Raw genomic sequence first — 25,082 nt, 5'->3', positions numbered from 1 at the left:
CTGAGAGCAAAGCTAATTTTGTCATTTACTGCTCAGTGTTTCTGCTTTCACTTCAGAGTTGGGCTCTCTGCTCCTTCATTTTGAGCCAAATCAGATAGGCATGTAAAAAGATTTTCTGTTGGTATAGCTGGCACTCTTGTTTCAGTAGGAGGACCACGCTGGGTATCCAACTTGAGAGACGTTAAAGTGAAGCAGGCAGAAATCCGCTTCTGAGAGAGGGCTTCCTGAGAGTGATGGTGAAAGTTACTGGAAGTAATGGGAGCAGAAAGGGTTTGTACCAAGGCTCCTGAAATCACGCAGGATGAAGCAGAAATCTACTCTTTGACAAACATGGAGGTATGATCAGAAACTAAGACAATGGAAATAAAGAAAAGGCTGGCTTGTGTCAAGGAAGCATGATGTGTGTCTCAGAGGAAGAGTACATTTTATAACGGAGAACAAAATGCTTCTCATCAGCAACAAGACTGAGAGCTCTGCTCTAGAATATATATATATATATAAAATGCATTTTATGGTTAAAATATCCTTTTATTAAAAGTTAACAAATGCCAATTATACTTACTAGAGCAAATGATAATTTGAATGTTGTTTCTGAATTGAATCTTTTCTATTCCTTGGGAAAGAAAGAGAATTGCCAAAGCAAAACCAAAAACAAAGAAAAAAACAACAGTGGAATCTACTTATCATGGGAGGTAAATTGGAATTACAGGAGTGCTTTATCCTTGTGGGAAAGAGAAGAGGGATAAAGTGGGTGGTTGAAATTATAAAGGAGAGAATGGGGACAATAAGGATAGGAGTATTAAAAGAAAAACTTCAGCCACATTCAATGTAAAGGAGTTTAATTGAGCAATGAACGATTCGTGAATCGAGAAGCCCCCAGAATCACTGCAGATTCAGAGAGACTCCAGGGGTCCCTCAAGGCCAGAACAAATTTATAGGCAAAAAAAGTAAAGTGAGGTACAGAAATCTAAAGTGAGGTACAGAAACAGCTGGATTGGTTACAGCTTGGCGTTTGCCTTATTGAACACAGTTTGAACGCTCAGCAGTGTATAACTGGTTGAAATATGGCTGCTGGGATTGGCCAAGACTCAGTGATTATTACAGGGCATACTCTTAAGTTTTCAATCTTGTCTACCTATTCAGTTAGGTTGCAGTTCATCCACAAGGACGCAAATATAGAAGTATGGAGTCCTTCTCAGGCCATATTTAGTTTGGTTTAATAAGAGATAGAAATGGCAGATAATATAATGGGCAAAAAAGAGAAAGCGTAAATGTCAGATTATGTAAAAGGGAAGAGAGACTAACAGAAAAATACACAATAAAGATGCTTGAAAAACTGAGAGATTACCTGAAGAAAAAAACTAAATAGACCAAAGAAACATGTGGAGATGAGGAACAGAAAAGAAGAAAATGGGTTCAAAGGAGAGATGAGAAATGGAAATCTTGTGAAAGGGAAGGAAGTGCAATCAACAAATGTGTGTCTGTGACTTTTGGATTAGTTGTGAGGCTGTAGATGTATGTCTCCAAACAACATGATTTCCAGTCTTTGTGGGCATATACTGATTATCCATCCACAGGGAACTTCAGTGTTTCTTTCTTAGTAGTATAGAACAATCCAGTAAAAGAGGAAGAGTAACCTTCCCATAGGCAGTGAAATGAACTTTCATAAATATTTGCTTATAATTTATTAGTTTGTATAGGATTTGACTTCCTCCTTAAAATTATTTAAATGACTTACAAATGAATCCCTTGAATGGTATGTTATTTGAATAAATACCTAAAAGAAAAAAGTATTTTTCTTACATTCCCCTGGACTCTACAAACTGGTATTGTTTAGATTCCTGTATGGGCAGGCCCTGTGAGATTTTAGTCCAATTTGTGACACATAATTAAGAGAAACATTAAATCCATTTATTTGAAGGAAAATAAAATCCCTCACTTAAAATCTGATTCTTTCATGAATACAAGGCTATATACTTGAGAGTATTTTGAGATATACTCTAGGTTTGCAAATTTGCAAAAAACAATCACTTAAAGGATTTCCCACATGTTAGTTTTGAATGATGTTAACTTCATTCAAAATGTGTGATAATGGTTCCCTCAAAACTAACTTAGATTTAAGATGACAACATTAGCGCATATCTAACTCCCTCTATGCAGATTGCCATTAAAATGACAAAGTGGTTATTTAACAAAAATAAAAACAATTTTAAAGGAAAATAAACTCTTCACCAGTGCAGTTAAATATGAAATAGTGACAGTCACTCTCCACAAACGTTGGGAGATTTCTACCCCATGTAGAGCAAATAAAAGAGGAGCGAAAGAAGACCAAACTTAACCTGCCACCTCATAGCAAGTGTACCTGGGAATAAGCGGAGATCTCAATGTAACCCTTGGCGCTCACCATCTGGGGAGCTCGGACCTTATCTGGTGCCCAGGACACAATGATCATGGTGCATACTCCTGACTTACTGTTTTCAGGTCACACACACACACACACACACACACACACACGCACCCCTATCTTAGATAATTTTGGGCTGTCAGTCAAAACAAAGAAAATAGCGTCTCCAAACAAAAAGTGTGCACCTCCTAATTTCCTCCAATTTATTGGATCTCTTAGCTGGTCATGATTTATCCCTTTTCCTCTTCCTTTGGACCCAAATGATGCAGAAAGGGATCTATACCAATGCCTGACAGACTCTGTTTCAAGCATAATTCTCCCTTTCTACGATGGTATAAACAGAAATGAAAAAGTTCATTTTCAGAATTATAAAAATGCATTCCAATTCACAACAAGAAAAGTATAAATATTTTTCTTTTAAAATGAATGCAACAAACAGGAGGAAATTTTAGAAAATGTTTTTTCCATTTTGTTTAATAAATATGTATCATAACTATAAGTAATATCCAAAATATTTTCAATATAGCAACCAAATGATATCTATTCAAAATCATCTAGGATGTCTCTCTATAGTTCCCTCCCTCTTTATGCTTAAACCCACAGGGCAATATTGGAATCAAAGGATGTGAGTTCAAGTCTTGGCTCTTCAAATTCTATCAGGTAAGTCTTCTCCAAAATGTTGTTTAGTACTTTCATCTTTAAAAATGAGAAAAAGTATTCTAAGTTATTATGTGCTTGGCAGTTAATATGAAAATTATATGCAGTGACATAAAAATGCTTATCCCGTGGAAAATTCTAAATACATTTTACTCTCTTTTTTTCTTCTCTTTTCCTTTCCATCTTCACCTTTTTGATTACTATTTTCTTCTTTTCCACCTCATAACTACATTATATACATATATATATACATATGTATATATATAGAATTTTCTTACACCCATCCCATTCTCTATACTGAAGCCTTGTCATTTAAGTTAATCTCTGCCCAGATCTGACCAAATTCACTTGTCTTATTCTACTTATCCTCTTTTGACTCTCTGTTGTCTCTCACATCAAAAGCTAGTATTTCTCCTTTTGGGGCTCTTTTCTTGTTGGCATTTTATATGCTATCCTGGCTCTGTTAACTCTAACTTCAGTTCCACACAAAATTCATTAACCAGTAGTGTACTCAAGAAATGGCAAAGCGGCCGGGCGCGGTTGCTCACGCCTGTAATCCCAGCACTTTGGGAGGCTGAGACGGGCGGATCACGAGGTCATGAGATCGAGACCATCCTGGCTAACACGGTGAAACCCCGACTCTACTAAAAATACAAAAAAAAAAATTAGCCGGGCGTAGTGGCGGGCGCCTGTGGTCCCAGCTACTCGGGAGGCTGAGGCAGGAGAATGGCGTGAACCCGGGAGGCGGAGCTTGCAGTGAGCCGAGATCGCGCCACTGCACTCCAGCCTGGGCGACTGAGCGAGACTCCGTCTAAAAAAAGAAAAAGAAAAAGAAATGTCAAAGCATTGTCAGAGAAATCATAGTTGTTAATAAATCATTTAGTCTGAAATGTACAGGGTAGCGGTTAATACCATGGGGTCTGGAGCCAGACCTTGGCTGAAAATACAGCTCCACCACTTCCTGGCAGTGTGAGTTTGGTCACGTTATTTAACTCTTTTGGCCTCAATTTGCTTAAATTTCCTTGAAGTCTTGAAGTTTAAAGGGGATAAGGAATGTAATGCAATCAGCACAGTGCCTAGTAGATAATAGTAGCTAACATTTGTGGAACACTCAATAAATGTTAATTCATATTAATTTGGGGATTTTCCAATTCAGTGTGAGAATTAAAGCACAGGTGAGGGACAACTACTGAGAATTGCTTTAATTACTTTTTTGTTTCTGTTTTCATCTTCCTTTTTCATAACAACTCCTTTCTTTTATTTAAAACCTTGTAAAGTTCCTAACAAATGTGAAAAGAACTTTCATGTTTGAGATTCAGAAACTGTAGTACTTCAAATATTTATAAACAGAGAAAAATAATTCTGTCAGTATGGCCACTTAGATTGTATTAGTCTGTTCTCACGCTGCTGTGAAGAAATACCTGAGACTGGGTAATTTATTAGGAAAAGAAATTGACTGACAGTTTTGCATGGCTAGGGAGGCCTCTGGAAACCTACAATCATGGCAGAAGGCATCTCTTCAGAGGGTGGCAGGAGAGAGAATGAGTGCCAGGAGGGGAAATGTCAGACGCTTATAAAACCATCAGATCTCATGAGAGCTCCCTCACTATCACGAGAACATCATGGGGGAAACCGCTCCCACGATTCAATTACCTCCCATGGGTCCCTCCCACAGCACCGAGGGATTATGGGATTACAATTCAAGATGAGATTCCGGTGGGGACACAAAGCCAAACCATATCATAGATATACTAATTTGAATTCTGAAGACATGCCTAAAAACTATTTACTAGAATGAGTAACATAACATGTTGCAGATGAAGGTGACAGGAAAGGTTTTGAGTAAAAAAGTGTTTTTTTACTTCTAGCATTTTGAGTTTTTATTTGACCTGTTATCAACAAGTGAAAAGTATTAATCTGGCAAGCATTAATTAAAACTCTTTAACTTCAATATTTCTATAGGTAAGTCAGATCTTTCTGTGGTTTGTGTAATTTTCATTGCAAGGCTAAAGATTTAAATTTGGCATTCATACTTCTGTCAAAATTCATTTTAAGTCATACATAAACAAGTCATTTGCATGTTGATTAACTACCACAATTTCCTCTGTAACAATCTCACTTTGGAAGTGCATATAAATCACAGCTGAACAGATTTCTATTAGTTCCAAAAGCACATACGAAGTAATTGTTGTTTTTCTGAAGAAAATCTGTAGTGCAAATTATACATTTTGTTTATACAAGCAATCTAGAATGGATGTTTTAATTATGCATTTGTTTATATATAAAACTTGGACTTACAAATCAAGGACTATAAATATAGAAAAGATCTATCCAAACCAGAGTGCAAACTTCACGTGATCAAATTAAAGTTTGGCTTCTGGAAGCAGTTAGCCTACTCAGGCAATCGTATCCAGTAGCATTACCTTCTGCGCGGCAGGAGAGGGAGCTCTTTCCCACAGTATTCTGGACTAATCTTGCAGAAAAAAATCTGGTGCCAGAAGGCAGCCCAGTCAGAGAAAACACCCTACAAGTTCAAGCAGCATCTTGGGAATGCTATGTTTGGAGACCATGAGAAACATAGGTCCTTTCTTGAGTTTATGAAGGTTTTCAGAGATTCCAAATAGTTTTGGAGGAAGACTAAAGTTACAGCATCCACTCAGAACTTCAAAAAAAAAGGAAGGCTTTCCATTTAGTAAGCTCATCCAAATGCGCTCTCAGCCTACTATCTGAAGTCTGCTTAGGGACAAACTACACTAACCTGGAGAGCGCCTTTTGGACCAGGTTCCTCTGGGCAAGTCATTAAGGCTGCTGAGTTAGGAAAGCCTTTACTCCTGGGTAAGTTTCTAGGCGGTGGAAGATGCCACAGCTGTGAATATGTGGTGGACTTTTACTTTGGATTCTGGATCCCTTCCTTCACATATCTCTCGAGAGTTCTAAAATACAAAAAAAAAAAAAAAAAAAAAAAAAAAAAAAAAAGAATGATTTGGGCTATTTATTTTCGGAATTCAACAATTAGAATTGTGCGTTTTTTAAATTCAGATTTAATTTGCACTACAATTGTTATGAGCCTCCCTTTTTTACTAAAAGCATTATGGATAGCATGGAAATATTTATTTTAGTAAACAATTATAGTTAGTGAAGTTGCATACTCCTCCGTCTTAAGACTGAGTATTTACGTAGTGACTATATTAATAACAGGTGTGTATATTTTTTAAAGAACAATTTTCTGAGTTAGTTCTATGTTTATGCAGAGAAACTTTGAGGTGCTCATCTATCACAATCACTGTCATTAATGACAAAAGTAGAAGCATTATGCTATTGCTTTCAGAAAGTCAATGGACATTTCTTAGTTTCAGCAATGAGCTAAAAATAAAATCAGGGTTGATATTGAGTTGTGATAAAATGAACAGTTCACATTAATTTTTCTCAGGAATGAATAAAAACATAATCAGTGAACATAGGTTATCATGTTGAAATAATAACTTTTTTTATTGTTATTTGATTTTTTTTTGAGATGGAGTCTCGCTTTGTCACCTAGGCTGGAGTGCAGTGGCATGATCTCAGCTCACTGCAACCTCCACCTCCCTGGTTCAAACGACGCTCGTGCCTCAGCCTCCTGAGTAACTGGGGCTACAGGCGCGTGCCACCATGCCCGGCTAATTTTTTATATGTTTAGTAGAGACAGAGTTTTACCGTGTTAGCCAGGATGGTCTCGATCTCTTGACCTCGTGATCTGCCCGTCTCGACCTCCCAAAGTGATGGGATTACAGGCTGGAGCCATCGTGCCCAGCCAATGATGGTATGTTTTAATAGATTTCTAACATTCACAAAATAATTGAAGAGGGCACGTATGTTTTGAGGGAAAAGTAAGAAAAATGAAAGCATATATTAGATAGATAGATAGATAGATAGAGATACATACACACATGACCAGATAAGGCAGTATGGTGAAATAGAAAGTAAAGGATAAGAAATGGGGAAGAAAAATAGTTTATGAGTGATAGGCCAGTAAAAATTCTCTTCCATTTTTCTCATGGCAAAGTTCCTTCCTGGTTTCTTGAATTAAAAGGAAGAAAATTGTTATGTGAGAAATATTTCTGTCACATGGAAATACATTTTGTTTTATTTCCATATTGAATGAGGAACATGAATTCCTTCAGTCAGAATGTCAAAGATAATTTTTTTAGAACCTAATATATACATTTTATTAAGCAATTTTTTCCAGAACGTTTTCAAGGTTAGCATGCTGCCATTTTGCCTAGTCTGCTCAGCTCCAGACAACTGGGTGATTTATTTCCTGAGTCCAGGGATGTGTCTTTTGCGGCTTCCTCCTCCTCCGCCTTTTTGACCACTTCTTCCCTCTACCGTCATCTCCATCTCTCCCTAAGTCAACACTCTTCTTCCTGCCTCAATGCCTCTTGAATCACTTACATCCTCTATCATTGTTCTCCATGTGTGTCTTGGCTTTTTCTCTCTGCCATTCATATTCTATATTTTTCTCTCTCACTTTCCCTTTTTCCTTTTTTCTTCCTGGATTGCGAGCAATATAAAGTAGACCTATGAGTTTTAAAAGATTTGGTACGTAAATTAATAAAATTTTGTGATTTTGTTCTAATTTCAAAGTAGGGTGATTTTAATTTTAAAACAACAGTCAAACTGAGGCAGGATAAGTAAGGTTAGGGAGCTGTATTAGTTCATTTTCACACAGCTATAAAGAACTACCTGAGACTGGGTAATTGATGAAGAAAAGAGGTTTATTGACTCATAGTTTTGCAGGCTGTCCAGGAAGCCTGGCTGGGAGGCCTCAGGAAACTTACAATCATGGTGGAAGGCGAAGGGGAAGCAAGTAGGTCTTATGGAGGAGCAGGAGAGAGAGAAGGGGGAAGTGCCACACACTTTTAAACAAAAGGATCTCATGAGAACTCACTCACTATCATGGGAACAGCAAGGGGGAAATTGGCCCCCATGATTCAATCACCTCCCACCAGGCCCCTCCTCTGATACGTGGGGATTATAATTCGAGATGAGATTTGGTTGGGGCCACACAGCCAAATCATATCGGGGTTATACTGACTTGTCCCCTTGTGTGAAGCCCCACGGGCCCCTCCACAGACAGCCCTACATCCCTTGCATCCTTGTGTGCATCAGCACTTCTTTGGCAAGGTAAGCAGTCCTACAGGATACCAGCAGACCACCAACCAGATGGTTACAAGTTCCTGACATCCAGTGTGGCCTGGGAAAGAGAACAAAAGTTTCTTATTCCTGATGGAATTTCCCCATTCTCCAACCAATCGGCACCAAAAGCCCAAGAAGCTATTAGGTACAAATTCCTGCCTTGGGGGAAGGGAAGGGGGAGGAGAAAGGAAAGTGGGTGGCCGGGGGCTTCTCTGGTGTCCTGCATATGCAGCTAGAATCAAGGTTTAGCTTTTAGTAAACTTTTCCTCATTTTAATAATAAAAAAAAGCACCCCTAGGTGGAGATTTTATATGCTAATGATACACATGATTTGTATTAGGGCATGATACATGCGGTGTGTGTTACTGCTAAGCGCATGCTCCAGCTGCAGGTCTGCCTTTGCATATTTGACCTTCCCAGGTCGTATTTTATGAAAATGTATGTACAGCTCCCATAAAAGGAATTCCTTTGAGGCACTAGCTGCTGTCTGCCTCTGAGTAGCTTGCTCTGCCTCTCAGAGTGTACTTTTGCTTTGCAATAAATAAACTTTGCTTACTCTTACTTTAGGCTCGCTCTCAAGTTCTTTTGTGCGGTGAAGTCAAGAATCCGTACCTGCTCACCAGCAACAAAACCACAGTGAAGTAAGGATATGTGTGATGTGTGTGTGTGTATGACCACGCATGTGTGTGCGTGCACGGTGTACATGTGTGTTGTTAATGTTGCTTAGAATATTCTCCTCCTTCACCATCTGACAGTCTCTGGTTCCTCTGGTTCATCCTTCAGAGTTTAGTTCAAATTTCCTTCAAAGTCATTTCTGTATGCTCCCCTATTCCCAATTTAAATTATACCTTTCTGCTACACTCCCTTAATAATGACCATTTCTCAAGTTTCTGTTATAGGCCATAGTTGTGCTTCAGACCTTATAAACATTATCTCATTCTGACAACAACTCTTAAAGTATGTCTCATCACCATTAATTTACAGATGAGGAACCATGGCTCAGAGAGGCCAAGGAATTTGTCTCAAGTACTCTGGGCAAATACTCTCCTGCCTCTAGGCCTTAGTACTTGCTGTTTCCTCTGCCTGAAATGCTCTGACTCCAGATCTTGGCATGGTTGGCTTCTTATTTCTAGTCATCTTTCTACTCAAAAGTCACCTCTTTGGAGAAGCCTTCCGTGATTACCCAATCTAAATAATTCTGTATCGTATCTGCCTGTTTTATTTTTTCTTTACTTTCTGAAAGTAACTTGTCTGTTTACTTGTGATGGTTAATATTGAGTATCAACTTGATTGGATTGAAGGATGAAAAGTATTGATCCTGGGTGTGTCTGTAAGGGTGTTGCCAAAGGAGATTAACATTTGAGTTCGTGGACTGGGAGAGGCCGACCCACCCTCAAACTGGAAGGGCACCAGCTAATCAGCTGCCAGCATGGCTAGAATAAAGCAGGCAGAAGTTGAAAGGACTTGACTTGCTGAGTCTTCCAGCTTTCATCTTTCTCCTGTGCTGGATGCTTCCTGCCCTTGAACATCAGACTTCAAGTTCTTTAGCTTTTGGACTCTTGGACTTACACCAGTGGTTTGCCAGGGGCTCTTGGGCCTTTGGCCTCAGACTGAAGGCTCCACTGTTAGCTTCCCTATTTTTGAGGTTTTGGGACTCGGACTGGCTTCCTTGCTCCTCAGCTTGCAGAGGGCCTATTGTGGGACTTTACCTTGTGATTGTGTGAGTAAATATTCCTTAATAAACTCCTCTTCATATATAAATATATCCTATTAGTTCTGTCTCTCTAGAGAACTCTGACTAATACAATTGTTGACTTATATATTGCTCATCTATTCCACTAGTTTTAAATAAGCATAAGAGGAAAGAGCTGGTCAATGTCCTTCTCCACTGTACCCTCAGCTCCTGGAACAGTGTCTGGGGTTATCATAGATGCTCAGAAAGTATATAATGAATAAAGAAGTGAATGAATAAATAAATAGAGAAATCTTGGACCTGGCCCTGTGACTTTTCTACTTCATGTTCTTTCCACCTCATCTTAATAGTCTGTATATCATTTAAGATTGTTTACACTGAAATACCCATATCCTTAAAAAGTTATGCTAATACTAATTGTATTATGTCAGGGTTCTCCAGAGAAACAGAACCAATAGGCTGTGTATGTGTGTGTGTGTGCATGTGTGTGTAGAAAGAGAGAGAAATTTACTTTGAAAAATTGGCTCAATAAATTATAGAGGCTGGCAAGTTCAAAACCTGCAGCAGGTGGCCAACAGGAAGGAGGTCTAGAGAAGAGCTGGTATTGTAGTTGAAATCTAAAGGCAGTCTGCTGGCAGAATCCTCTCTTGCTTGGGAAGGGCAGTCTTTTGTTCTATTTAGACCTTCAACTGATTGGATGGGGCCCACCCACAGACAGCAATCTGCTTTGATCAAAGTCCATCAATTTAAATTTCAGTCTCATCCAAAACACCCTCACAGAAACATCACTTATGTTCCTCAAATAACCAAACTACATTTTTTTCACCTTAATGAAGTAATGAAATAATTTAAATCAATAGGCATTTGAAAATTTAAAAATTTAAGTATTGATTAAGTGGCTATGACACACAGGGTCTGCTGGACGCTGGCTTTAAATAGGTGAATGAAATAGACACATTTCCTGTATTCATAGAGCTTATTTGATGGTAAAATAAACATGTTCATATTATCTCATATGATTTTCTTGTGTAACATCAAAAGAAACAACCTAAATTTTCTCCACACAGTGTCAAGATTACACATTTATAGAATTGGTTTTTGTTTCTCTTCACCCTGTAAGTGTGTCTTCAGTGTTTTGCCCTTTCCTAACAGTTTCATATGCAAAGGGCATAGTTGTGTTTATTATAACCTCATTATTATTGCTGGTTAATTTGGAGGAGTGACTGTTATGCTTAGGGCTTCAGTGTCTTTATAAAATGAGTGTAATACTTTCTATATTGTCACAATGGGATGGGAATGCAGTCAACAGAAAGATATAAGATTTTAATGGCAAATGGTTAGGAAACTTAGAGAGGCAGAAAAAACAGAGAACAGACACGTAAAACAGGAGTTAGCACAGTGAGGTTTCAGAGGCAGTTGTGACTTCTCATATGACCTTAGCATTGCTGTGAAATTACGTAGCTTCAGATGATACTGCCTAAATTGAGCAAGAACACCATCAGGTAGGAGAAGCTTCCTTTGCCTTTCTCTAGTTTTTTTTTTTTTTTTTTTTTTTTCCTCATGGCATCAGCTAGGCTGTTCTGGAAATTCTGGCTACATGCCTGCTTCCTCACTAGGTGCAAATAACTACTGCAAAACAAAATTAGCACCTTCTCGAGTGTTTACATAGAGGTGGGATGAAGTGAGGTTCTATTACTCACACTCAGGCTTCAGCAGGTCTGGGCTTCAAGCTCTGTGAGTTCCCCTCCTGCAAACAACTAGCTCACAAAGATAATATGAAATGTTGGAAACACCTAGCACATAACATGCACTCAATCAGTTAAAAACTGGAATGTTATGACATGTATAATTTTGTCCCTAATTCTATAGGTATATTACTATATTACTAGATTGACTTGAAATGATAATATTCTATGAGTTGATTTCTTTTTATTGCTAAAGTCACTCATAACAGCAAGTTATTGTTATTGTCATTCTATATGTTATTACTCAGTGCATTATTCAGCCTGCTATACCCAGAATATATTCAGAATTCTTATATTTCTAACCTCTTGTGCATTTACTATTCCTAAGTTCCCGGGAAAAAAGGGGGACACTATTCTTCTTTGCATGTAACTAATACTGGCGGGTACAGAATATTTTACTCATTATATTGATCAGGAGCAAGAGTGTAATGTACATGCTTAAAGGTGATTCAAATATTTAATTGGTTTTAATAGGAAGGCGGTTTTCCTTGATTCTCTTCATGTTAAGAATAGCAAATTATACTATCTCTGAATACAAATTATACATTTTAAAAAGCCATTCAGTTGCATTGTCTTACATAAAAAAATGCAAAACTTGTGTTTTTTTATGTAGACTTATTTGTACTTTCCACAGTCTAGATGTAAAACCACTTTATATTCAACCCCAGTTACTCTTACCATGTACAGAAACTGTTAACAGGATAGCTGTCTGTTGGTAAAATTAAGAGACGATTAAATAGAGAATAAAAACAAATCTGATCATGTCATGTCTCTCAGACAGCGTGACACCCCCACATGCAGAAACATGCCCTTTAAATGCTTCATTGACTTTATTTCTCTCTCAGGGTAGAGACAGAACTCTGTATCATGCCTCTGAGGCCCTTTAGGATGTGGATCCCCCATGTCTTCAGTGCCATTCATGCCACAGTGCCTTGGCACTCTCTGTGTTAGCCACAATGGCCTCTTTTCAGCCCCCTCAACTGATCATACCCTTTCCAGCCACCATGCCTTAGGACATGGGTGTTTCCTCTGCTCACAATAACTTTTTCCCTCCCTGCTTAGTTAATATCTAAGGGTCCTTCAGAACTTCTTTATAGAAGTTGTTTTCAATTTCTGGTTTAGTTAAAATACTACAATCATAGATTCTAGGCACCACATATCTCTCCTTCAAATCTGTGCCCACTGCAATTCCTCATGTGCTTATAGGAACTTTTAATTACTATGCCTGCCTCCCCATCCTCATTAAACTGCGTGGGCTCCGCAGGATGGAGATACAGTCCTTGTTGGTTTCTGCTCATCATTGCATTCCCCAGTGCCTAGCACTGTGCCTTGCAGTAGTAGAAATTGACAAATATTTGTATCAAAAAAATGAAAAATGAGCATGAGCTGCATGTGAATGAAATCATTGTAATGTTGGCCAAGTTTCCACAATATGTATTTGTGCAGTTGAACTATCAGAAGACATAATACATGGTTTAATTTATCTGTTTGAAATATTGAAATCAAAAGATTTTTGTGAATGAAGTGCTAATAGTTTCTGCCCTTGCTTTGAATTCCTTAGGGCAGCTACTAATTTGCCAAATGCCTTTTATGAAAATGTTTGCATTTTCTTTTATTTTTATTTGTTTTCTTGTCATCCTTAGGGAGCAGAATGCCTGTCTGACTCACCCTGACAGATCAGCTATGGCAGGTCTGCTGTTGTAGAAAATTCTTCACCCCAGAGGCTTTATCTCTCCTGCAGGGAAGGCTCATGAGCAAATGCTGTCATTAGCAACCATGCATTGTTGAAGACATATAGTGAGAAAATATGTCAGGTATTGTTTCAATGTACCAATGTTAGTAGAAAATCCTGAAGAATTTTCGAGATATTAACTGTAGATTAAAACAACCTTTAACCTAAATCCTGAGAATTTCCCTTGGCGTTTTGATTTTCTTTTTGTCTTTCTTAGCCATCTTTTAAAAATTAAATCATTTTTTTTTGTTTTTCTGGGAAAAATTCTTTTATCTGAGGATTTTTCTAAGCTGTACCATTAGATTTCACTTCCCTTTTTACATAGTCTATTTCATACCTATTGGTTTAAAATTATCAAAAGAGCCAGGCGTGGTGGCTCATGCCTGTAATCCCAGCACTTTGGGAGGCTGAGGCGGGTGGATTGCCTGAGCTCAGGAGTTCCAGACCAGCCTGGGCAACATGGTGAAACCTTGTCTCTACTAAAATACAAAAAATTAGATGGGCGTGGCAGCATGCACCTGTAATCCCAGCTACTCGGGAGGCTGAGGCAGGAGAATCGCTTGAACCCGGGAGTCAGAGGTTGCAGTAAGCCAAGATTGCACCACTGCACTCCAGCCTAGGCGACGGAGCAAGACTCCGTCTCAAAAATAAAAAAAATAAAAAATAAAATCATCAAAATAAATATTTCCTAGAGCTAGGACAATAGACATATCAAGCTTCCTTATAGAATAGCTCTATTTTTGTAAATATGCAAGTATACCTCACTGTTTTTTGCATAACAGATAGCAGATAAATATTTGCTAAATTAGTAAGTGCTTAAATAGTTATATGTATGTATACTTTTTTTTTCCCACAAACCATTATGGGAAATAGTAACACTTTACATAATTTGGTGAAGACATTGTGTTGTTGTGGTTTTATAAAATTTTCTAAAGCTATAAACCAGAGTAATAATCCTAGACTCTGCATGGGGCCACAAACCTGGGTGAATGTATAGAATTGACCAAAAAAGGAATTCCCTATACAAATAAAAGTGCCTAGAATAATAGTCAGGATTAAAGGCTGATTTGTTATGGGAACTTCTAAGATAATTGTTTTCAGACTGTTTTCTTTCAGGTTTTAAGTTCAAAGGGTATCTATGTACAGTTGATTGTAAAATAAATATTTGGCAGGAAAGGGTTTGAAATTCAAGTATAAGAGATAGTAGGAAAGGGGCCACAGGATGATTAACACCCAGGCTCGTAAATAAATAGTTATAATTGGAATTCTCTTATCTAACTCGATTAGAATCTGTATTTGGTTACAGAATTAAAAAGCAGTGAAAGTAAGGAATCATTGAAAACTTAATATATACCTTAAATACTTATTTTAATCTAAAATATATAAATGTTCATTTATTCACCAAGCTTTTGGGATGAGGCCAATAACATGAGTTCTATTTCCTGAATGAAGGTCCTTACCTTCTTTTTTGCATAAACCACACACCTATAACATATCATTTACATTTCCAATTTGAGTTTCATTAAAGTTAAGAACTTAACACTTAATAAAGCAATCTAAAAACATAAGCATTTTTAACTTTTTATCATAACATTTTATAGTTTTCTTACATCTAACTTAACATTTTAAAAATCAAATCTTTCTGAAACGTTTAAAGAAATGACTCTATTTTCATAATCACATCTCATCACTTTTTAATATAATGTTAATTAATTTGCATAATTATCATGACAAGTACAAGTGACTTTCACAGGTAAAGAAGCAGACACAACTGATTTTGACTCTGGTAAGCAACACCACTCAAGGAGAGGGTTGGAAGCAGAAGTGCCTGAGTCTCCTATGGAGTAGCCTGTCAGTGACTGGGCAGCCCTTGGGCAGTCCATGTGTTATGGGTGGAAGGAAGAGCATTAATGAATCCAATAGTTTGGTTAATTCTAACTGAACAGTATTCTTTTAAAATTTACATGTCCCTTATTTTAAGAATAATATGTTTATTATATATATCTTGAAATAATATGTTTCAATAAATTGAAAATAAAACACATACATACACACATACACACACACACACACACACACAATGCACCACCTGGAAAATCACTATAAATATTCAATCATTCTATTTCCATAATGCTCTCTTATGCAAGGACCACTTACAACACAATAATTTTTAAACACAGTCCATGGTTTTAGCTAATACTGCATATATCACATAAAAATAGGACAATATGCCCTTATAATGAGTTATTCTTGTTATAACTCATGAATATTAGTACCAGTGTTGGACCTATAGCTAGAGTTTCCAGATTTCCTTCAGTTGCATAAACCCTCTATACAAAAGAGAGATTTTTTTGTATAAACAATGTAAAGAATGTGAATCACTAATATGGAAATTATGTGAATGTGAAAAATATTTATTATGTTTTGGAATATAATATTATTTAACAGTGCCTTAGCCATTTTCAAATGAGGATATATGAGTACAAAAATAATAGAGATGTCTCTAACCCTTCCAGATAATTAATGAAGGAGTCAGGATTAGAACCCAGGCCTTTTCTCAATATTGTAATATTTATGGGTACCTGATTAAAATATAGTCATTATGATCTAAGCGAACAGTATGCTGTAATGGTCTGAGGAGATGTTTTCTTTCCAAATATATTTCTTCGATTAAAATGGCAGGTTTCTAACATTCTTTAAGTGTATTTCCCAGTAACAATTTAAAATTATAGGAATTTCTGTATAAACAATTACGGGATAGCAATAAACGACCTCAAAAAAAAAAAAAACAAAACTCTGGATTGCTTTTGAAAAATGGCACATGAAGTAAAAAGAATTTCAGAACTTGTTAGAAATAAAAATATCTTGTGTCATGTTGCCCCAAAGCCCTGCATATAATGTTGAAGCTTAATTTTAGATTATACAACTTAAAGTTAAGAACCGCCTTGGCTCAGTTTGCTTTGTCAGGCACCCTGCCCAGTGCCACATGAAGATGGCACATATTAGATGCTTTTTGATTGACTGTCTCCAATTATTTTTCTTTCTTTAATGTGATCTCCAAGTCTTTCTTAAATACTGGATTTGTTTCATTTCTCTTCATCTGAAGCCTTAAGAGGAGAAATGCCTTCTCCTCCCACCTTCTGTTTTGTGCTAGAGTCAGGTAAAACTGTTCTCCAGAGATGAAAGCCTAAGTTACAGATCCCCTTATTTTGTGTATGGCCCTCAAGGGCATTCAAGGAAAAAGGGGCAGAAATGATTCAGTTTCCCATAACAGTGTCACAGAAGGGCTGTCTTTCAAACTGATCTCTGATAATTTACTAGGTAAAGGTGTGAAAGCGATATGACTTGGTTCCCCTTCTTACTTCCTCCGCTTTATAGGGCTAGAGAGGAAATCTTTCAATGTATAAAAACCTCGATGGGTGGTGGACACACTATATAATCTTATACAGTTAAAAATCCAAGATCTAGAATAGTTAACAATTTTTATGCAAAACTCTGATATCGTTTAGGGTTCTACCTGTGGTCATTCTACTAGGTTTAGCATGTTGATTATAAGTCTTCACAGTGATGATGTATACAACTTTTTCATAAATGTTAGGGAATTTGAGTAGATCAAAATGTCATAAGGTTTCTGGGCAGGGAGTATTTGTAATGACAGATTTGATTGCAAGTAATTGAACAGCAACTCAACCTTAGTGACAAAGCACTGGAGTATCTTATGGACTCCAAGGACTGAGTGGCAGCTGGATTTCAGGCACAGAACTATGTTCTGGAGCTCATTGGTTTCTTTTTCTGAGTCTCCTTCATTTGTCTTCCAGGTTACAAGTTGCTTTTCTATGTGCCTTTATCCTCACTGGAAACATTATCTACCAATAGCTCCCATGTCGTGTTTAAACTGAAGCTACTCTGTGCACCCGCTTTCTGTTTCTGTTCCAATTGGAGGAGTTCCAGGTATGGGACTAATTGCTCAAGCTTTGATCAATTTGACAGAGCCAGTATTAGGACAATAAACTGTTGGAGTAGTTGTACCTCCCAGAAAAGTGAGTGTGCCTGGGGGCTGAGTGGAGGTAGTCATGGCCGTAGTAAGACAAAACAAGGGGTCCTTGTGAGTACTTTACACTTTTCAAGAGACTAAAATCAATTCAACAACAGTAACTCACTGAGCAACACCTGCAGGTCACTATGCCCTTTGATTTTACATCCATTACCTTTCAGTCATTACAATCTTGTGTGTCAATGAAGTGAACACCCATAACTTTTTCTGTCCAGAACCCTTTCTCATACTTGGAAATCTTCTCACCATTCCTGCTTCTATGAACTCACCTCTCTCATAATATAATTGTGCAGTGTCTGTGGAAGCTGTCTACTATAGCAGGTTGCACATTCCCTCCAACCACATTTAAAAGTTCAGGTATGCTCATCTGACTATGTCACGTTCCTGCCTAGGACACTGAAACTAAAAAAAAGAGAACTCAGCCTATTTGTCCCTGTAACAACTGATTGTTAATGCATAAATGAAAAGGGTGTTGGCAGGCATATTTTATCATATATTTGAGATGCAAAGGAAGCAAGAATGTGGTGAGAAAGAAATAAAAATTAAAAAAAAAAAGCTGAGTGGTAGAGAGAAGCCAAGACAAGGTATGGATTTGGTTCAGAGTCATTTCCTGCACCTCCATTCACCCACTGCACTCCTGTAGGGCATTCTGTAGGGCTTCCCTGGTGGTGGTGCCAGTGGGAGCACTCTCTGGTTGAAATTCACTGGCCCATGTTTCCCTTCATCGCCTCTCTGACCTGTCTCTCCTCATTTCTACTTTCAATTCTATTACAAGCCACACTGTACTACTGTCACTTTTGTAAGTCTATGATATTGAATTTCAGCTTTATCCTGGTTTCATTTGGATGTCCAACTCTCCCCTTCCCTCTTGTCCCCCTGCATTCACTTGCAGATCTCAGTTTAGAACTTTTTTTCTTCAAAAATACCTACTTTGTCCCCTCCCCCAGGCTATATAAGATACTTCTTTATGTCTTCATAGCACTCTATATTTCCCTATTCTAAGAGCTAACTTTGTCATGGTGCCTTCTAATTAAATGTCTACTTACATGATTAAATTGCCTATTACCACGTAAGCTTCTTGAGGATTTGGGCCATAAACTGCTTTTCTCACCATTGTATATCTAGTCCACCTAGCACAGTATGTGGCACATAGGAGGCAGGCAATAAATATTGCTGAATAAAGAGATTAATATATATTTGAAGATCATTAGGCTTGGAATAAGTGGCCAAATAATAAGTATTATCCTAATTAGACATTCTTCAAAAACAATATAATGACTAAGCGTTTGTTTGTTTGTTTGCTTGTTTAAGAACAAAAAGTATCAGCCATTGTTCCTAGCAGCACTGAACTGCTTGTAGTTCCATACACACCATCCTTTTTCTCTTCTCCCAGTCTGCTGATGCCAGTCACTCTGTTGCAACATGGATTCTTTGTCCACTCACTTCAGTATCTTACTCCATTCACCTCCTTCAGGAAGCCTCTCAGAATTCCTGACTGGTTTGCCCCTTTCCTTCACTCTCAAAAACCTTGGTTTTCAGTCCAAGTTCTATTTCTATTACACTACATGATGTAGGGCAAATAATCTCACCCACTTTGGTCTCAGTTTCCTTATTTCTGAAAGGAATGGGGAGTACTGTATGATTGACTTTTAATTGTTTTTTAGCAGTCAAATTCTCTTATAAGTACAATTCTTTTATGAAGTCCAATATTTACATTGATTAAAATCTTATCAGAGATCAAATGTGTCTTTTCTTTAGTGAGCTGAAAAGCATCTTGAAATCTTAGAAGGGACGCTGCCCACATACTACAAGGCCCCAAAGACACCACCCTTGTGAACATTTCGCAGTCACTAGGAGGTGCTTCTTTTGGACCACCACAAAGATCTTTAGTCATGTTATCACATGTGTGTAGTCTCTTTAACACAAGAGGAGATAATCAGTTTCCTTGCTGTCTAAAACTCAAAACTAAAGTTTTGTTTTGGTGCTCAGGGATGCTCAGGGAAGGATATTGAGTTCATGAAGAAATAAGCAGGAAACTAGCTTTGAAAAAGCATTCCATGGACCAGCTGGGGCCTTGGAAGACAATGCAAACACTAGAAACTAGTCATGTCAGGCAATCCAAATTTCATAACCTTGGGCCAAATCTTAAAATTCTATTAAGTTGATCATTCAAAATGTCTACATTATCAGGTCAATTTGTTGTGATAATACTGAGTCACACCCTCTCAACATCCTGAGTGAATTAAAAAAACTAAATATAACACAGAGATACTTTTTTCTTTCTTTCTGGACCTCAATCCAAATAAAGAAAATATCACCTGCAGAAGATTCTAAAAAGTGAACAAGCAAATCAGGAAGATTATACTAGAAAAGCTATTTGTTGTTGTTTTTGACCAGTCTTTAGGGTAGTTTTATAACTCTCACAAAGCAGATATTGTTTTGGTACTATTTATATTTCAACCACTAATCAGGAAAATAATGCTAAATGTGCCAAGACTCAGGTCTTAGACGTACGTGTTCATTGAATTGATTTCTTTGCCAGAGCTAAAATTTAATAGGTTGCCAGGAGAGCCAAATCAATGGTGTATTATCTTTTAAAATCCCTTCTATCTCAACTTTTCACTTTTCATATAGAAATCCATGCTCTTCCTTACTGACTCTGTATACAAAAATTATTCTGGTCAGAATACTAAAAATTCCAATTTGCTAGCCTTTGTTATTTGAACCAGGCTGACACTTCTGCAATTTGGCTTGACTTGCATTTATTCTAGTGTATTATCCAGTATCAACATTACACAGAAAACTAATTTAAATAATAATGCTTGGTCAGAGATGGAGCAACAATATAGAATAAGATGATTTGGTTTAAACAGTCTCAGAAGGAATCTTATTGATATAGCATACAGCTTGTACCCAAATTCTGGGAGAAGGAAGTAAAATGTATCTTTATATCACATTTATTTTGGTATATCTTTATATCACATTTATTTTGGTATTATAAAGATACAATAAAATGTATCTTTATATCACATTTATTTTGGATAATTGTTAAAAAGTTCAGCTTACTATGATTTTTGGAAGATTTACAATTAATGTGCTTGCTAGGGAAAATACACAATTTGAGAAGTCATGAGAGGCTGAAGCCTGAGATGGTCTGATCTCCTGCTACATTGCTATTGGCTGAGGGCCAACTAAGTATCCAAATTATCTTTGCTTCAAAAAGGATGTTGATCAAAAGGTAGGGGTGCATTTCACAAGCATTTATTTCTATAAAGAATTATGAAAGGTTGAGAATGTTTGGTTATGCTTGTGTTAATTCATCTTCAGTTTCACCCTTTTGCATTCAAGTTTCTTTACAAACAACAACAACAACAACAACAAACCGAATCCAACAAAACCCAAAGGACTTGGCTATGCAATTAGTGTGCTGGTCCAAGTATGGTTCAAACATATTTTATGTAGCCCAATGTCTACATTTTTGTCTGGAATAAATAAAAGACTATTTTGATTATTGTTGTTTTATTTTAAATTTTAAGTACTTTAATTTTGATATTTGATTTTTAAGGTAGACATAACCATATTGATATTATATTCCAAGCAGTGCCATTTCCCACCCGTTAATGATAATTTGGCTCTTATATATGGCAAAAGAGAGAGGTGATTAATGAAGGTGATCAATGGAGGCTTCCAAACTAACAATTAATAATTCAGTGACAGAAAGGCTGCAACCACAAACTATTTGGAAAACAGACAAATTTTGAATTTCAGAAAATAATAATCTATTGGTGGTATGTTACAGTTTCTTTCAGAAAAAATGACCCTTTTGAATTATCTGAGGCAAAAAAGAAAGAAAATTATTTGATAAGTGAATTGTGTGCTGGGTAAAGCTTCTGTTCAACGATGTATCTTAAAACTTGAAATAGTAATTTCTCTCATTCTGTGATGTGTGTTATTTCAGCACACCAAACACCAAATGAAGTGTAATAGATTTTATAAAAATGCCAAGGCAGGTAATAATTTACATGTTCTTTTTTTATTAAAAAAATCAATAGTATGTATTATAAACCTTGTGAAATGCTGACACAGGAAAAAAAATCCATGTTCAAATCAGTTTTCTTTGTACAGATAAATGGCCTCAGATGTAAACCAGACAATGATTAGCTAATTCCTTTTCTGATCTATATTTCTAAAGTAGAATCTACACAAATGAATGAGATGTGACTATTTCCATTTAAAATTTATAGTTACAGCTGAGCTAAGCTTTGGAAAAATATTTGAAGATGTGTGTTTTTCTTTTTGCAGGGAATGCATTCTAAATTTTCTTATAAACCTATTACTTTACACTTTTATTTACCAAGCATATTCTTTTTCAAGGATTATGTGTTTTTGACAGCATTTAAATTTCACTAAAAACAAAGTTGAACTACCAAGAGCAACAGTAATAAATATTTTATACTTTATGTAGTCTTTTCATATCTACCTAATCCACATAACAACTTGGGTGAGCAGAGCTGAGAGTAGGTATTAGTATCCTTATTATACAGATGAGAAAATTGTGTTTCCAAAAATATAAATAATTGATATTTTTGGAAACACAATTTTATAAATAATTGATATTGACCTGGGCTCCAATAGAGTAGCTGGAGCTCTTTGGTTTTATTCATGGTCCGAATAAGTTAGAGAACCAGAACTTGGCAACCATCCAAGTAGGTAGGCATCATTGTTCAGGTTAAGGAAGGGACCACTCATGAATGAGATACCACCACAGACAAACACAGGTAGCTCCTCCTTCAGGCCTTTCCCCAGCCACTCTCCAAGCATGGTACCTGAGTTCTATAGCCCACCACTTTAAGAATGATGCCCAACTCTGGGCCAAGCATGTGTGAATTACAATGGAGCTTCTAAGGGAGCAGGTAAAGGGATTTTTCCCTGTTTAGCTTTGATTCCTTTCTGTGTAGTGATAGAGATTAGTGACACATTTATGTGGTCTAGAGTAAAAAGGATAGAAACATATCTTACATGTGTAACTTAAACTCTAAGCTAATGAGATGAGAAGGGAAGCTATATCACTGTTTCATTTTGGCAACTTATTTTTCCTGTTTCATTATTAATCCAGATTTCCCTCTTCTAAATTTTTTTTAAAGAAACAAGATACTACAGTTAGAGTAGAAGCTTCCTTCCATCCCATGACCATTCTTCTATTTCCTGAGGTGACTAATATTCTGAAGTTGATCTGTATTTATTCCATTCACATATTTTATATGATACACCATGTATGATTATCAAATTGTTTTATGTGCATTTTAAGAGCTACACAAATGGTAGCATTATATAGTTAACACATCAAGTTCTACGTTTTTCCCTTACATTTATGTTTCTGAGATTCAGTCTTGGTGATACACATAAGCCTAGTTTGTCCTTTTTATGAGTATACAAGAAAATATAAATTCAGTGAGAGCAGAACTTTATTTTATTCACTGCTCTGACCTAAGTAACTTGAGCAGAATATTTCTTTAATGAAGTAGTGAATTTGAGAGAATGAGTTAGTGTATATAAATGAATGAATTAATGTACAAATGAATGTGTGCTATTAGCTTATATTTTTTCCTATTTCTGGCTTTGTCTGATTTTGACATTAAGGTTATTCTGCCTTCACAAAATGAACTGAGTAGCTTTAAAACATTTTGTATAAATGTATATTTATTCCGCAGGATATGCTAAGGTCTAGCACTTTCCTCTGGGTAGATCTTGATGAATGATTTGATTTCTTTAATGTTATAGTTCGATTACAGTTTCTGAAAATTTTCTTCTTGAACTATTTTTGGTAGTTTATGTTTTTCTATACAATTATTCCTGTTGTCTCCATTTTTAGATTTAATGGTGTATTAGTTTACTATTGCTACTGCAACAAATAACCATAAATTTTGTGGCTTAAAACAACACACATTCATTATCTTACAGTTATGGAGGTCAGAAGTCTCAAATGGGCTAGTAGATCCTTTTTTATGCCCATTCTAGCTTCCAGAGATTGCCCACATCACTTGGCTTGTGTTTGTTTTTACTCTGACCCTCCTGCCTCTCATTTGTAAGGGCTCTTGTGATTATAGTGTACCCACCTGGATAATCACGATACTCTCCCCATCTCAAGAGTCTTAGCTGAATTGCATTGGCAAAATCCCTTTTGCTCTGTAAGGTAACATACTCACAGGTATTAGGAATTAGGATTCGGACATTTTTTTGGGGGGGCATTATTCTATTTACCACAATTGGTATCATATGTTCCATTGTGTTTTCTCCTGCCTCTCTAGATGTGTTGCTTTAAAAAAATTCAGGCCGGGTGTGATGGCTCACGCCTGTAATGCCAGCGCTTTGGGAGGCCGAGGCGGGCGGATCACGAGGTCAGGAGCTCAAGACCAGCCTGGCCAACATAGTGAAACCCCGTCTCTGCTAAAAATACAAAAAAAATTAGCCGGGCATGGTGGCGGGTGCCTGTAGTCTCAGCTACTTGGGAGGCTGAGGCAGGAGAATCGCTTGAACCCGGGGAGGCGGAGGTTGCAGTGAGTCGAGATCGCACCACTGCACTCCAGCCTGGGCGACACAGCAAGACTCTGTTTAAAAAAAAAATTCAGAATGTGTTTATTTCTTCCTCTATCATTTTCTCTTCATTAATTTGTCTATTTTATTAGCTATGCCCTGACAGTTTTGACAGGGTTGTGGGATATAGTAGAAAGGTTGGAAAGGCATGGACAGCCGTGCTGGGAGTGCTGTTCGAGTAATTTTCTGCCTCCAGTCATTTCCCACTACTTCATCAAATACAACTACCTCACTATGCTCTGGGTGGTACGAAGTAACCCATGGTAGGATGCTTCCCAACTCAGTGTTAAAGGTAATGGTGCATCCTGAGCTTTCTCGCTCTGCATCTCAATCCTGGAACTGGTAATTCTCTATGACTGACACCTCTGAGCTCCCATTCTCTCCTATCTCTAGGGAATACCTGAGGAGGTGAGGTTTCACCTTCTTACTCCCCGCGGCCCAACCCCCGTCCGCCCCTCCCCCGCCCCGCCCCTCGCCCCCCAGAGCTGAGACCTGGGCATGCGCATCAGCCGCAACAGATTGGAGGGGACCCTGCTGCTCACTCCCCTGCTACCCTCCTCTCTTCCCTCCCCCGACCGCTCTCATATTCCCGTTCCCACCCCCACCCCCCACTCCCGCCCCGCACCCGCCCCTAGCCCGGGCTCGGGGACCTGTCAGGCTGGTTTCGACAGCTGGGGAATTAACCTGTCCCGCCCATCCCTAGCCTCGAGCCGCGCAGGCTCCGCGCCTCCGCCCTTGTTCCCTCCCAGCTCCTCCGAGTGGAAGCCGCTACAAATGGCTTGAATGAAACGTGTGTGGGTTTAGTGAGTGGTGAACCACCAGGGGATCCCGTCTCCCCACAAACCAGTATCTCTCCGAGGAGGAGGCGAAGGAGTGGGAGGAGGCAACGAGCCGAGAGTCGAGCTTCGCGGGCGCGCGCAGCGGCTGGAGCGCGGGGGCGAGGCCGGGCCACCTCCCCTTCCCGGCCGCGCACTGCCTGGCCCGCGGCGGTTCCAGGCACCACCCTTCCCGTCCGGGCTGAGCCCGCT

General features: G+C 37.9%; 1 long non-coding RNA gene across 1 annotated transcript, besides 2 other annotated features; it reads left to right on the top strand.

The window, feature by feature from the left end:
* Window positions 1-69: 69 nt before the first annotated feature.
* On the top strand, window positions 70-13,588 carry LINC03043 (long intergenic non-protein coding RNA 3043). The gene is made up of 4 exons (NR_167671.1): window positions 70-336; window positions 3,008-3,064; window positions 8,804-8,877; window positions 13,318-13,588. It is a non-coding gene; the product is annotated as a long intergenic non-protein coding RNA 3043 (long non-coding RNA).
* Window positions 7,231-7,525: a silencer, noted in NCBI's record as "tiled region #5263; K562 Repressive DNase matched - State 9:DNaseU". NCBI's record gives its function as "represses a minimal TATA promoter and a strong SV40 promoter by Sharpr-MPRA in K562 cells {active_cell/tissue: K562}" and the evidence as "EXISTENCE:reporter gene assay evidence [ECO:0000049][PMID:27701403]".
* Window positions 24,947-25,076: a silencer, noted in NCBI's record as "silent region_18589". NCBI's record gives its function as "represses an Ori minimal core promoter by ATAC-STARR-seq in GM12878 lymphoblastoid cells {active_cell/tissue: GM12878}" and the evidence as "EXISTENCE:reporter gene assay evidence [ECO:0000049][PMID:35858748]".

The sequence above is a fragment of the Homo sapiens genome, chromosome 7, assembly GCF_000001405.40.
Source record: "Homo sapiens chromosome 7, GRCh38.p14 Primary Assembly".
NCBI classification, from domain to species: domain Eukaryota; kingdom Metazoa; phylum Chordata; class Mammalia; order Primates; family Hominidae; genus Homo; species Homo sapiens.
Note: the sequence above shows the minus strand (reverse complement) of the source record. Positions and strands in the feature narration are given on the sequence as shown.